This window comes from Homo sapiens, chromosome 6 (assembly GCF_000001405.40).
Source record: "Homo sapiens chromosome 6, GRCh38.p14 Primary Assembly".
NCBI classification, from domain to species: domain Eukaryota; kingdom Metazoa; phylum Chordata; class Mammalia; order Primates; family Hominidae; genus Homo; species Homo sapiens.
In genome coordinates, this window is record NC_000006.12 from 167,457,433 (window position 1) to 167,472,872 (window position 15,440).

A 15,440-nucleotide genomic window follows, 5' to 3' on the forward strand; every position below is an offset into this window, starting at 1 on the left:
CTTTTTCTAACAGCTCAAACCCTCGGGATCCCCCCATCCCATTGAAAAGGGACAGTGCCTGTTGAAAGGAAGCTCTGTTAAATGTTAGTTGTTATAATGATTATCAGACTAGTTTCTCCATTCGCTGCGAACTTTTTTAAAGGTAATTTATTTTGAATTTTTTCTTAAACATTTCCTAAGAATGACTATAATTCTTCAAATTGTCTCTTATTTTTCTAAAGCCATAGCAAAGAGGAGGAACCGGTGACTTTCTAGAGGAATTCCTGGCAGGACACCCCCGCCCAGCAGGAGCTCTGGGGTTGTGGCGGTGGACAGGCTGCCACTGGCCAATGTCTCGTCTGAACTCAGCTGATGGCTTTCTCCAGATTCCCACCTTCATAGATTTGGGATGATTTTGAGGGAGAATCTGGTCCATATATAACCAGTCCTTTTTAAGTGAATTTTCTCTGCGTATGATGTATAAAGTCCCAAATTAAAGAACTTGGAGAAGTTTTATGGATCAGTTTATGGCTGCATGAAAGTTGACTCTTTAAAAATGTGTGGCCTTTGGTTCTCGTAATATTTGTTCTGTTTGTTTCTGTTCAAGTTACTAATAAAAATTAATAAATTGGCTATTCTTGAGTCTTTGGAAACTGGTTGTGTTTCCAAAACAAATACACCTGCCTGTGATCATCATAAAAGTGATCTATCCAGAATTATCTGAGGTTGTAAATGTTAAGAAGAAAAGACAAAATTTAAAGCATCAAAAGGCTCTATGGAAACAAACTGCTCAGTAATCTGTGTTTTTGAGATGCATTTAATGATCCAGAGTTAAAATGCCAAAGTCATTTTGTTTTCCTCAATGTAGAAATAAATTACTTGGGAAAAGAGAGAGTTGTGGATTAAAGACAATTACTGAAATTCTTATGACTTTGATTTTCATGGTAATTCATGTGATACAATTTTTTTAAAATCTCAGGTTTGAATCCTCAGTAAATTGTACTTCTACAAGAATAATGGTTAATAAAAAAGTCATTCTATATGCTGTACAGATCTCTAATGGTCAGGCAGTAAAAATTCATTAAATATTCTAGGTCTAACACTAAAGAAAAAATAATTCAATCTCATAGAACTTTGTGGCTTGGAAGCTACATCATAATCTCAAAAATGAAATTCAATGTAATAAATACTCACTGAGGGCATATCCAGGCCCAGAACTGGACTCTAAAGATGCAGAACTGGACAGGACACAGCCCTCCCCTCAAGCAGCTCAGCAACTCAGCATATGCCTGTGGGTTGCCACTATTGACACCAGCTGCCATTGCACCGGAGTTTGAAACTATTACTGTTCTTTCTTTCTGATAGTTTGGATTCTGCATGAACTAGACTATTGATTAGAAGCGACCTGATTTATAGAGCAAGTTGCTTGGCTCAGTTGTACCTCGATTATTTATCTAAAAGACAAGGATGATGGGTCTGACCTTCGAGAGGCAATACTGTGAGGCTGCAAGTCACTTTTCTAACATCTTAAAACCTGTGCAGATCCCATTCTCATGTCAAGACAGACTATCAATCCTTCGTGAGCTGAAGTCTAATGAATCACTCAGCAAACACATGCCTCCCCTCCCTCCCTCAGGGAGATGGATACCAGGGACCAAGAAGTCAAGATGAAGGACAAGGAGTTACTGCAGGAGAAGCCTTGCTGAGAACAGGAATTAAGAGACATATTGCGGAAGTGTCTCTGCCAAAGTACTGAGTTCGCCTACTATTTGGTAATAAGAACATTAGATTCTGTTCCAGAAACCACAAAATATGAACATAAATAGATGACCATATTACAAACATATTTTGAACGTAAGTGTATGAACATATTTATTATCATAAATATATGAACATAAATTCAGTGAAACAGTGAGGCTCCCTCAGGCCCAGGTGCGAAGTCCCCACTGTGTTGAAATAGCAGCTGCTCCCTGATGCTCTCCACGCTACCTTCACGGCGTTTTCTACTCCAGCTCTCCTGGATTTCACGTATTTTGTTTGTTTTCAGACGGATCCTCAAAGAGGCATCTTGACTTTCTGGTTTGGACACTGTCCTCACAGAACAGCATCTGTAAAAGTTTTAGTTGCTCAGTGGTAACATTTGATGATAAGGAGAAAAAGCCCAACACAGTTATGCTTCCATTTTTTAAAAAAATACAAGCAGTGGACATTGAAGAGCCTGTGGCAGGTGAATGAGGGATTGAACATTAAATTCACAGAAAACAATATCTTTCCTTTCAAAAGAATCCCTTATGGGTTCCCATTGGGAGTTACCTTATGACATTCAAAATATTATTCAATTTACAAAAAAAATTTGGGGGATGTGTACATGCAGAACAGGGAGAAAATAGTGTGGGAAAGAGTCTTCTATTCTGTGCTGATTTACTGCATTCCGGGTTGATGTGTTCAGAATGATGAAAACAACACATCAACCACTATTAGAACACATAAGATAAAGGTTGCTGCTGATGGTGAAAATGGTTAAATAAAAACTTTGGTCCTATACGTGGGGCTGGGGAAATAGAAGTCAAGTAATTATTATAATCAGAGGTCCTACATTCCTGAAAAAAATTATATTGGTGGGGTAAAATGAGTCCATTTAAATCCATCCTGTATAAAAGGGTAATCGATTTAAAAAAGTGTCCTAATAATGGTGATTGTTACTTCAGAGTTGACTTATTCAATATCAGTCCCAGGAGAAGCTATTTGAATGATGTAGCCACTGATAGTCTCCAAGGCTTTCTGGTACTTTGCAATTCAAAGTTCACACATAATCTGATCTCCTATTTATTTGTTTATTTATTTTTGAGACAGAGTCTCATGCTGTCACCCAGGCTGGCGTGCAGTGGTGCGATCTCAGCTCACTGCAACCACTGCCTCTCAGGATCAAGTGATTCTCATGCCTCAGCCCCCCAAGTAGCTGGGATTACAGGCATGCACCACCCCCGCACCCAGCTAATTTTATTTTTATTTTTATTTTTAGTAGAGATGGGATTTTGCCATGTTGGCCAGGCTGGTCTCAAACTCCTGACCTAAAGTGACCCACCTTCCTTGGCCTCCCAAAGTGCAGGGATTACAGACTGCACGCGGTCCCGATCTCCTATTTAAAAGCAATTGGGGAAAATGTGTCCCTGTGCTATTACAGTCTTTGAACGTCCTCAAGAAATAGCCAATCAGGGAAATGGTGGCTCAGCTCCGGTAGGAAAAAAGAATCATAAAAGCCCCAGGTGTTTTATTTTTAAATCTTAACCCCACTTCTTTCTTTAAAGAGGAGGACACATGGCCCTCATGGATTGTTATTTGTTTGGGATTTCCCTGCTGAGTTTGGCTATGATCATGAAGATGCAAGCTTGGGAGACACACTTGTTTTCAAAGACAAATCCATCTCCAAAGAAAATGAAATGCATTCCCTGAGCTGTGGGAACCAGGAACTACCCATGCTTGCCACTTCTGATTAAAGTAAGGCATTGAGAAGAGAATAGACAGAAAGAAGGAAGAAGCTGAAACAACAAACATCAGACCACCAAATAGCACAAATCATATGTCCTCCCTTTTTTTTGAGGGAATCAGTAATAACAAGGAACCCAAATGCCCATCCATCAAGATAGTCACTTTTATCCAATTCTCACTCTGAGCTCAAAAATGAAAACGTTAGAGCAAAGACAGGGCGCCGGATTTGGAGACCAGGGAATGACCAGGCACATTTCCTAATGCACAGCCGGACAAGCTCAGAGTGCCATTAACACACCCCGCAGCATCTTCCCAAAACTTGTTCAAGAATTCCCTTAAATGTGTTAAACACAGGTTGGTGTGAAGGAGAGAGGGCAGTTCTAGACCCAGCGGGAAAGTAAGACAGAAACCAAGGCCGAGCCCTGGGCCTCAGGGTGGAAGATCAGGATAGAGTTGGCTTCTCTCCGGAGGCTCTGACACCTGCCAGGAAGAATGGCGACTCCATGGCAATTAGCAGCTATTGGAACCAACTAAGGGCTCCAGGAGCACAGCCTTCTGCAACCGACTGGAACAAATGCTGGGTTAGGAAATGCGGCTTCCTCAAGAACTCAGAGGACAACTGCAGAGTTTGCTTCTATTCATCTTCATGGTGGAGCTGGAAGTTCACTAGAGACAGGTGTTTTTTCTTTCATTGTTTGCTTATTGAAAAATCAAGGCTCACAGACGTTGAATACAACCCTAAACTCTACAGCAAATCATCTCAAATGAAAACTCAACCCCCTGATTTGTGTCTGCCTCTCTAGAGTTCATCCATGACTGAATTTCCCACTCGTAAAATAAAGATGAAACCAGAGGTAGAGTTGCCAGAGTCAGCAGAATAAAAGTAGAGGACACTCAGTTAAATTTGAATTTCAGAAAAACAACAAATACATGTTCAGTATAAATATATTCTATGCAATATTTGGTATGTGCTTATATTAAAACAATATCTCATTGCCTGGAATTCACATATGACTGAGTGTCCTGTATCTTACCTGGCAACCCCAACCAGAGGAAGAAACTAGCCCTCTCTACATCCAACAAAGAGGGAGGATGCTCTCCTGTCCCCCTAGATGTCAATCACCCTTCACCAAACTTCTGCCTCCCAGCGCCTCCTCCTGAGCTCCAGCTTTTCTCTTTGCCAGTCACTTAAAGGGGTCCATGCAGAGCTGATTGATGAAGAGTAGATTAACTTGACCTAGCCCAGCCCAGCCAACGTCCACTCACCAAATATTCTGAACTTGTTGGCACAAGAGAGCTTTTCTCTTCTGATCAAGAAACTCTTGTTATTTTTAAACATTTCAACTAAAATATCATTTATTAATTTTGACATTGTAAGCAAAAATAAATACAATGCTTGCTGCACAGTGCATCCTAAGTGTTTGTGAAATGAGGGAATGGATGAATGAGTGAGTGATTCGAAGTGAGGAAGAGCAGAGTTCCCACTGGGTCAGAAAGTGATTTTTCACATTTACATTATAAACCCTTTTAGAAATACTGACTGCCTCCTGGGTATTTATATATAAATATTTACATGTGGCTCCAGCAGAAGAAAGAAAACCAGGGTACCTGTAGGCCATCCTTTCCTTTTGACTTGACTGCCCATGTTCTCTGCTTGCTCCTGTGTGCTGGGAAGGTGGGAGGGCCACCAGGATTAGGTTAGATTTGAGGTTAGATGGGCTGAGCGTGGCATAGTCATAAATGAAAGAATCTGTCACATCCTTGGGACGGAGCTGGAGAAACATTTTCTGAATAAATGCAATGCGCAGGAAGGAAAGGCCCTCGATGTCTCCACCCACCAATATGAGTAAACTTCAGCTCATACTTCCTGGCTCCACCCACCACCAAAAAAGGCTCCAAGTGTCACCAGAAAATTCAGTGTATTTTGATTACTTTACTGAGAAGGGTCTCAATTTTGCTACCCAAGTCTCGTTGTAAAGCTAAGCCTATTTGCTTCCGAGGGTGGCTGTAACAAAGGACAGCAGGGAGGCTTAAACCAGGAGAGATTTCTTCTCTCACTGTCTGGAGGCCAGAAGCTGGAACCCAGGTTTTAGCAGAGCCGTGCGCCCTCTGAGAGGCAGAGAATCCTTTCTGCCCCTCCCAGCTTCTGGTGGTGGCCATCACTGCTTGGTGGTTCTGAGTTTGCAGCTGATCGCACCAGTCACTGACCCTGTCATCATACCGTGTCCCCCTGTGGGATCGCGCCAGACCCTTATGCTGTCATTATACAGTGTCCCCTTGTGGGTGGCCTGGCCTCATGCAGTGTTTTCCTCTTCAGATAAAAACACCAGTCATAGGGGATTAGGGCCCTCCCTAGTGACTTCATCTGAATCTAACTACATCTGCAAAGAACTTATTCCCAAGTGAGATGACATGCACAGATACCTGGGTTTAGGACATCAACATGTCTTTTGGGGAACACAGTTCAACTCATGACATTAAGTATCACAATATGTCCCATGTACCAGCCATTCTACAAAGCAGAAAGACTTGCAGGTAAATACCATTGTCCAACTCAAGGGCGTGGAGACAACGACAGCCAGGGACCAATTCCTCATTAGGATATGTACTGAGCATGGGCTGTAAGGCAGACTGTCCACTCCTCACATGATTCTATCTCACTCACGACTGCAGTGCATAAACAGGTGCTCACTGTTTGCAAAAAAAAAAAAATGTACATAAATAAACAAGGTACCAAGCTAACAAGTGAGTAACCAGCAAACATGGAATAGTTGTGAGCAAATATGGGCTTATTCACAATGGGCCATACTCTGTCAGATCTAAACCTTCACCAGTTATATAACTCACCACTGCTTTTTGTGCCACAAGGAAAAAAAAGTGTTGCCAACTAAACCATTGCACAGTGAATTCTTATCACTGAGAATTGTAAATGTATTAATAGAGTTCTTGGCTGGGTGCCATGGTTCATGCCTATAATCCCTTTAGGAGGCTGAGGCAGGAGGACGACTTGAGCCTAGGAGTTTGAGATCAGCCTGGGCAATATGGTGAAACCCCATGTCTACAGAAAACGAAAAATAAAATAAAATAATTAGATAGGCATGGTGGTGCATGCCTGTAGTACCAACTACTTGGGAGGCTGAGTGGGGAGGATCACTGGAGCTCAGGAGGTTGAGGCTGCAGTGAACCAGGATTTTGCCACTGCACTCCAGTCTGGACAGTAGAGCAAGACTCTGTCTCAAACATAAATAAATAAATAAATAAATGGGTTCTTTTATTTAGTCATGTTTTCGTATCCTATATCTCTTGTGCATAAAAATGAAAAGGAACACATAAGCAGTATGAAGAGCTAAGATGTTTTTAAAACTTTTTTGAATGCAGCATCCGCTGCTCCTAAGTCATGTCCCGGCTCACTCAGCCTCACTCACGCCTTCCCACGCGGTATCAGCCTCTGAGCAGCCAAGAGCCAGTTGGCTCCACTGTTGCCCCTGGACTTTTTCAAGCTGCCAACACCCATTCTGTATATTTGGATGCTGATCCTTTGTAAGCTTAACAGAAGGTGTAATAGAGGGTTCCAGAAAGCAATCAAAATCACCTCAACCTCAAATGGTCTGAGTTACTGGGTAGTTGAAAGCCAAAGATTGGGATGTCCAGCTGTGGCACTAGGCGACAAGTCTAGATGACAAGTCGCTGGGCTGTGCATTGAGCTTGTTCTGAATTTCACTCTTACAAACATTCTCACACATGCGGGCAAAAGTCGATCATGATTTCAGATCAACCACAATTACAATCAATTACCAGACACATCCTTATACTAAAGATGTTAAAATGTGAAGAAGAAGGGGAAAAAAAGTACAACTAGTGTTTGATGAATAACCTGGAATGATCAATGGTGATCATTGGTCAACTATTTGCTAGCTGTTGTCTTCTGTGAAAGTATCAGCAAAGGCCAGACCTCTGTTAGGAAATGCAGGCATCATCTAATCTTTGTGAAAGGCAGCTATACAGTTGTCTTTAGTGAGAGGCAGTAACACTTAAAGCAATTTCTGAATGAAATAAGAAATAATAACCATTTAAACGACAGAGCAGAAGCAAGCCATGCTGCGTGAATGTTTCAGAATATTTTTAAAGTCATTAATCAATATGCCTTTTGGGCATGGAATGGTAGTGAGAATGAGATCCAGACTCTGGCTCCAGTCTTATGCTGTGTGGCCTCTTGCAAGCTCCTTCATCTTTCTGGATGCAGTTTTCTTCTGTGTAACATAAGACTCTCAGGTTTATTCCAGATGCAACATTCTACTTTTGATTTTTCAGAAAAAGACCTCATAGCCATTTGCAGTCTGGCCCCTTGCTCAATAGGTCACTTGAAGCTCTTTCTTAAAAGTATGCACCAAAGTATAATAATAAATAAATAAATAAATAAATAAATAAATAGTTACTGAAAAATAAAATAAAATAAAATATTCTAAAAAAAAAAAAGTACGCACCAAACACTTTCTACGCAGGAGGATAATTTCTAATTCAATAGCAGCATCCAGGCCCTCTTCCATGTGGCCTGCTTTGCAATGCAGGGGCACACTTTGAGATAATATTAGGGTATTTCAAAGAACTTTAGAGTGCCTCAAGTTCCACCTTCTTTACAGAACTAGAACTTTGCTTCAATACCCAATCCTTTGTTAAATACTCCTCTGAGAACGTGTTTATGTCTCAGCAACGCAGCCAGTTCAATCAATCACTCAAATGGCTGGACAATTCTTTCCTGCCCAGTTGTCACAAACAATTGGAATAGAACAGGACGTCCAGACATGGACCCAGTAAGAGAGGACAGTGCCCAGCACACACAGCAGAAGGCTCACACTGAGCACCTAAAGACCATTGAAACACACATCGCCTGGTGGAAAATACACAAAGAACATCAACAGATTGTTTAATAAAAAGAAAATGTCATCGGCTCTCAACCATACAGAGGCATACTCAAGCTGATACAAAATAAGAAAAATACAAAATTAAACTCAGTAAAGGTGTATTTTCAACTCTCAATTAGGCAACGATCAAAAAAGCTTAACAACAGCTGCTGACCAGGCCTAGAGGAAACAGGCGTCCGTATACATTGTTGGTGGGAATATAAATTGATAGAGTTTACAGGAAGGGGAATTTGACAATATCTACCAAAATACAAAAGCACGTAACTTGTACCTACCAATTCTACTTCTAAAATTATAAATCACAGAAGCAATTCTCAAGCTTTTTGGTTTTGGCACCACTTTATACTCCAAATCTTACTGAGGCCCCAAAGACTTTTGTTTACATGGGTTACATAGACTGACATTTACATTAAAAATTATAAGTGATGAACTTAAAAGAGATGTATTATATCATAAAATAATAATAATCCCATTGCATAACAATATAAAACACATTTTCATTAAAAGTGGTTATATTTTCCAAAAATATTAGTGAAAACAGGGCATTGTTTCACATTTTTACAAATTGGCCTGGGAGAAGACAACCAGATTCCCAGCTCCACTTCTGCACTCGGCCCTAGTGAGGTGTGGTTTTGGTTGATGTCCCTGGAGGAAATCTGCCTGACTTGGGAATGAAGCTGCAAAAGAAAGCTACTTGCAGGAGAGGTGCGGGACTCGTTTTGGGAAGCTGAGTCTGACAGACAGCCACAGGCATGTGAAACCATGGTATCATTCCCTGAGGTGTTGCTTGTTAACAGCAGAGGACTGGCAACAATCCAAGGGTCCCTCGAAAGGGGGATGATTAAATAAACTACAGCCCATTTGTAAGAATGGAATTCTATGCAACTATTAAAATGAATGATGTAGTGTATTAAGTACCGTTATGTGGAAATGAAAGATTTATCGATAAGCATAAAGTAAAAAATAATCTGCCGAGCCTATTTATATAAATATATAGTTTATATAAATATATAGTGTATATAAAATACATCTGGAAGGAAACGCAGTAAAGCATTATTGATAGTTACTTTCCCAGAAGGGATGGGGGCCTTCACATTAGGGCATCGGCAGGCTCACTTTTCATTTTACATCTTTTGTAGCTTTTGAATTTTCTACCATGTGTATATGTTATCAAGCCAAAATTAATTAATCAATCACTGTAAATACAAATTTATAACCTATTCTGAAGACAAAATGAATTAATGCATGACAAAATGCCTGGCCCTTTGTAGATATTCAATAAATGTTAGCTGTTCTAGTTAATAATTTTATTATTATTATTAAATCATAGAATAACTCTAGTTTGGGTTATGTTTAGTCTCCAGTCTTCCACTACCTGGGTCACCCTTATAAGTGCTACAACCCCTGACGGTCTCTCCTGAAAGTAGTTCCAGGTCTGGTCTGAACGCCACAGCACAATAGAACAGCCTCAGAAACCAGTTTAGGTTTTATTTTTGGGCGTTAAATATTTCCTGTAACCATATTTTGTTAGTCTAGTCATTATCGAAACAGTACCTTTGCCTTCCCCTATGGGTTCGATTAATTTCCCTTAGAGAAACCCTTCCAACACCTGGAGTCTTCACGCCTCCCCGTGTGCTTGGATCGGGAGCACAGAGTGAAGCTCTGATGCTCCCCGTGCTCCCTCATTCTACGTGTGCTCATTTTCCTCTAAGGATTTATTCCCACCTCGGGTTTTAAAATACCTCCCACATATACTTCCTAGATTTGTGCTTACAAACCAAGTCATCAATAAATGTTATTTGTTTGATGTGTAATAATTCACTTTTCTATTTCACTTTGCCTTAGACTCACAAGATTTTAGACAACACCCATAATTCCTTCTCCACATTACTCAGTAATCACAATCTAAATCTAAGATTCAATCTATTTAGGAAAAATACCACACACAAAAAATTCAAAATCATTTTGTTTCATGTTTTAAACAGCTAAAGTAGAAATAAGCATTTGACAAGCACGACTATAAACTGCAATGTGGTGGATCCCACACCCCTCTGATCCGAAACTCTGTCATTCCTGCACCACGTAGAGACACTGCGACACATTTCTCAGCCTTCACCGAGTCTCTGTGATCATGATGTCGAGATGCTGCCACATGTTTCTCAGCCTTCACCAACTCCATGAGATCGTGACGTCGAGACACTGCGACACATTTCTCAGCCTTCACTGACTCCGTGTGACCATGTCATTGAGACGCTGCGACACATTTCTCAGCCTTCACCGGGTCCGTGTGACCATGACGTCGAGACGCTGGGACACATTTCTCAGCCTTCACCGGGTCCGTGTGACCGTGACATCGAGACGCTGGGACACATTTCTTAGCCTTCACCGAGTCTGTGTGACCATGACGTCAAGACACTGTGACACATTTTTCAGCCTTCACCGGGTCCGTGTGACCGTGACGTCGAGACGCTGGGACACATTTCTCAGCCTTCACCGAGTCTATGTGACCATGATGTCGAGATGCTGTGACACATTTCTCAGCCTTCACCGGGTCCGTGTGACCATGACGTCGAGACGCTGGGACACATTTCTCAGCCTTAACCGAGTCCGTGTAGTCCGTGTGACCATGATGTCGAGACACTGCTATGCGTTTCTCAGCCTTCACCGGGTCCGTGTGACCATGACGTCGAGACACAGTGACACATTTCTCAGCCTTCACTGAGTCTGTATGACCATGATGTCGAGACACTGCTACACATTTCTCAGCTGTCACCGAGTCTGTGTGACCATGATGTCCCCTTCTCTTCAACATCTTGAAATAGGATTAAATATATAAAGTCTTAGAATCCAAAGCCAGCCTGTCACTGACTTCCTAGAGCTACCTGCTCTGCTGTGTCCTGGGCCCTGTATGGAGCTTGCTGAGATTTCTGGTCTGTTCTCCGAGGTGCCTTTTTTCCTTCATTCTTCATTCATTCCTACTCTATTGAATGCCTGCCACCTAAGCACAGGGGGTACAGGGTTGATGAGGAAAATGGGGCCCAATGGCAAACTCAGAAACCATTCCAACTTATATTTCCCTTTGAATGTCCCCTCTCTCAAAGGCAGTTGATCAGAGCACCGCCCACGGCCTTTTTCAATCTTCGCCTCCATGGTAATAACCATAAAATCACCCACCTTCCTTTCATGTTATTTTAAATTTAAAACTAAATACTGTTATCAAATCACATAAAAGTAAAAATCTTTCTAGAATCAAAGTTATCTTGATTTGAAAGACGCGTATGATTGACTTCAAAGATAGGATCAGTGTGAAGATTGATTCTACTTGCTTACCACAGGTTTCCTATTATTTAACCACAATCAGTTTCCAATGAGAGTCTGCTCATGGGAGACTCTGACTCTCTCACTCCTCCCCCACTCCACGGAATGGGGAAAACCAGCCCGGCCGAAGCCCATCAGTGCAGCAGGAAGCTGGGGGCTTGCCCAGGAAGTCTGGGGTGAGGCAGGCCAGGAAAGGATGTGGGCCCCTCAGGAACATGTGAACACAAAGTGGAGACACTTCTCTCCAGATCCTAGATAGGAAATGGGAGGTGACAGTGATCAGAATTCCCAGTAACAATCAATTACCAAGCACAAGAGAGCATTTGGAACTCCATGGAAGCAGTTTGGGTAGCATTGGAAGTGTCTAATTGGTAAATGTCGACAATAAATTTACAAAAACTGTCAATGAGATTTTGAAATGGTAAACCCTGAAGATTGGACATGAGGTCACCTGTTGATTCATTAAAATAATACTCCTTTTTATTATATCAAAACTAGATTTATTTTTAACTTTTGAGAATGTATGTATTACATAAAATAAGATACCAGGCAGTCAAAGTCGAGGGGAAACTGAAAGGAATGCTTTGGGGGCATCAGGAACGCCTTCCTAGACTTCAGTGCCAACAGCACTCATCTCCTCTCAGCTTGCGAGCTGCGCTCTCCTAGGCCCTTGCAGGTGGGATGTGCGCCAGCTCCTCCCTGTGCGGAGGCGGCACGTGGGGAGAAGGCTCTACAGGGCTGTGCAGGGGCTGCAGCACAGGCTCTGCTCTGGATCTGCAACAGCTTGTGCAGCCAAGGGCAGGCATTCAGGCTCAGTCCTCAAACAAATAATCAGATCTGACACTGTTGACGCGGGAGGTAAAGAAATTGCTTTTTCCCTGGAGCACAAAGTAAAGACACCATGAAACAGTCAATTCCATGGGGAATGACCAGATATTCTCTCCATCGTTGGTGTTTGCTGGTAGGTGCACAGTTAATCGTGGACAGAATCTTCATGTCCCATGGATTTGCCAGACATGGCCAGTGTCTGCTGTAGGATCCTGAGTCAGAGCAGGGCGTGCGGAGGACTGAGGCGAGGCTTGTGGGGCAGATGGTGTGAAGTAGAGATGGGAGGGGGGCGATGTCATCCCTCCTCCTGGAAGGTGGCAAGTTGTCCTAAAGCCCCAGGGTAAAGCTGCAGAGCTCCCTGTGCCGTGGATGCCCTGCTCCTAAATCGGCAGCGTGGCCTTATGTCACCCTCCTTATTTTCGTCTGGGTACTGTTTTTAGCAATGTCCCACTTTTCTGAGCAAGACACCACCTGGCTGGTTGGACACAGACATCCCTAGACTCTGAGCTTTCCTGGGCTTCCAAGATTGAAAAAGAGTCTATTTAACATCCCTGAGCAGGGTGCCCAGCCAGGGCTGCTGTGGGTGAAGGTGTCAGGACCTCCTATCATGGCCCATCTCGGCCTCCAGGGCTGCTGTGGGCAAAGGTGGCAAGGCCTTCCACCATGGCGCTGTCTGCAGCCTCTGACTTAGGGGGTTGAGCTGCTTCCCACAGAAAGGCCTGAGCCCTGCAATCTCTGGATGCTGCATCACCCAGGGCAGGGACTCTATGAGGCACAGCATCCTCCCAGGGGACAACGGGAGCAACGCCTTTCCCTCTGCAGGGACACAGCAAACCTCAGCCAGCTCACAGCTGTGGGCTGGCCCCAGTGATGACCAGAACCAAACAGAAGCCTGAGCAGACTTCAGGCCACTGTGGCTGCCCTTGCGGGTGCAGAAGCCTGGAGCTGCAGGGTGTTGGCTTGGTTGGCCCTGGTCCTGGTCCTGAATAGTCAGGTCTGCTGTGGACGCACATCAGAGCCAGGCAGGACTGAGGGCCCTTGGGAGAGAGGCCATGGGAAAACCGTGGGCTGGGGGATTATGAAAGCCTGAGGCCTGCCCTTCAGCTGGGCCTGCCCTGTGCCCGCCAAGTGCAGGGTGAGTGAAATTCTCAGCCTCCAAAGCTGGTCACTGGCCCTCGGGGAGAGAGTGCTCACCCCACCCTGTGTGGTCCCATTTCCCTGCTCCTGTCCTCCTGGGGCAGCCAGCACGCTCCTATCTAGAGCTCTCCAGCACAAGTGCTTGGCTTCCGTTCACACTGCAGTGGCTTTCTCAGAGCCATCACCAGCCAGGGTGAACCACACATTGCACCAACTCAGGGGCACCCTCCTCCTGCATGGTGGTCCCTGAACCTGTATGGGCCTGGAGCGTTCGCCTAGTTCTGTGTGATTCCTGACACTGCGAGGCTGTGTATTCTTGCTCATAGACGACTTTCTCATCCCTAGTCTCCATCCTATGACCTCCGACAGACCAGCGGCATCCTTGGGTCAGCTGAGAGTTTGACTCACCATTTTTCATCGTGGTGTCAAGCAGTCCCGTCCTCCAGACTTGAACATCTTGGCTGAAGTTGTTATTAAGGTCAGCGTGTTCAGTTTACCGAGGCACAAGGACGGTGCAGGGCAAGGAGCCATGTCTCCCAGATGGCAAGGTCAAGGAGCATGAGGGCTTCATGCAGAGGTGGAAGCAGGAACAGGAAAGCCATCCGACATCCACATCCCTCATCACTCCAGCCCCTCCCCGGTCATAGCGCCCCTGTTTCTGTTACTCACTGTGGGGCCTTCCTCCCCGGCTCTGCCCACAGTGCTCTGGGATTCCTACAACCTAGACGTGCTAGAGGATGTTAGGAGCCCACTTGGCCACCGCACCCCAGCCATGACCTCTCCATCCCCATCAAATTCCTTAAAACACACTTGGAGCCCGCTTGGCCACCGCACCCCAGCCACAGCCTCTCCATCCCAATTCAAATTCCCTAGAACAGTAGTCCCCAATCTTTTTGGCGCTAGGGACCAGTTTCACGGAAGAAAATTTTTCCATGAACAGTGGGAGTCGGAAGGTGGTTTCAGTTTGATTCAAACGCATTACATTTGTTGTGTACTTTATTTCTATTATGACACTGTAATATATAATGAAATAATTATACAACTCACCATAATGTCAAATCAGTGGGAGGCCTGAGCTTGTTTCCTGGCAACTAGAGGGTCCTGTCTGGGGGTGATGGGGACAGTGACAGATCATCAGGTATTAGAGTCTCATAAGGAGCGCGCAACCTACATCCCTCGCAGGCACTGTTCACAGTAGGGTTTGTGCTGCTATGAGAATCTAATGCTGCTGCCGATCAAACAGGAGACTGAGCTCAGGCAGTGATGCCAGTGATGGGGAGTGACTGTACATGCAGATGAAGCTTCACTGGCTCACCAGCTGCTCACCTCCTGCTGTGCAGCCTGGTCCCTAACAGGCTGCAGACCAGTACCTGAGACTGGGTAATTTATATAGAAAAGAGGTTTAGTGGCCCACAGCTCCACAGGCTGTGAGGGAAGCACAGTGCTGGTACCTTCTCAGCTTCTGGGGAAGCCTGGGGGAGCTTTTGTTCATGGCGGAAGGTGAAGCAGGAGCAGGGGTAGCATAAGAGCAGGAGCAAGGGTGGGTGTATTGGTCCATTTTCACACAGCTGATAAAGACATACCCAAGACTGCACAATTTACACAAGAAAGAGGTTTAATGAACTTACGGTTCCACATGGCTGGGAGGCCTCACAATCATGGCGGAAAGTGAAAGGCACATCTTACCTGGTGGCAGACAAGAGAGCTTATGCAGGCAAACTCCCCTTTATAAACCCATCAGGTCTCATGAGACTTACTCACTATCAT

General features: G+C 44.1%; 1 long non-coding RNA gene across 1 annotated transcript; it reads right to left on the minus strand.

The window, feature by feature from the left end:
- Window positions 1–1,825: 1,825 nt before the first annotated feature.
- On the minus strand, window positions 1,826–15,358 carry LOC105378127 (uncharacterized). Its single transcript, NR_134591.1, has 4 exons — window positions 15,302–15,358; window positions 6,012–6,159; window positions 5,077–5,240; window positions 1,826–2,087 (listed from the first exon to the last, which is right to left on the minus strand). It is a non-coding gene; the product is annotated as an uncharacterized LOC105378127 (long non-coding RNA).
- Window positions 15,359–15,440: the final 82 nt, after the last annotated feature.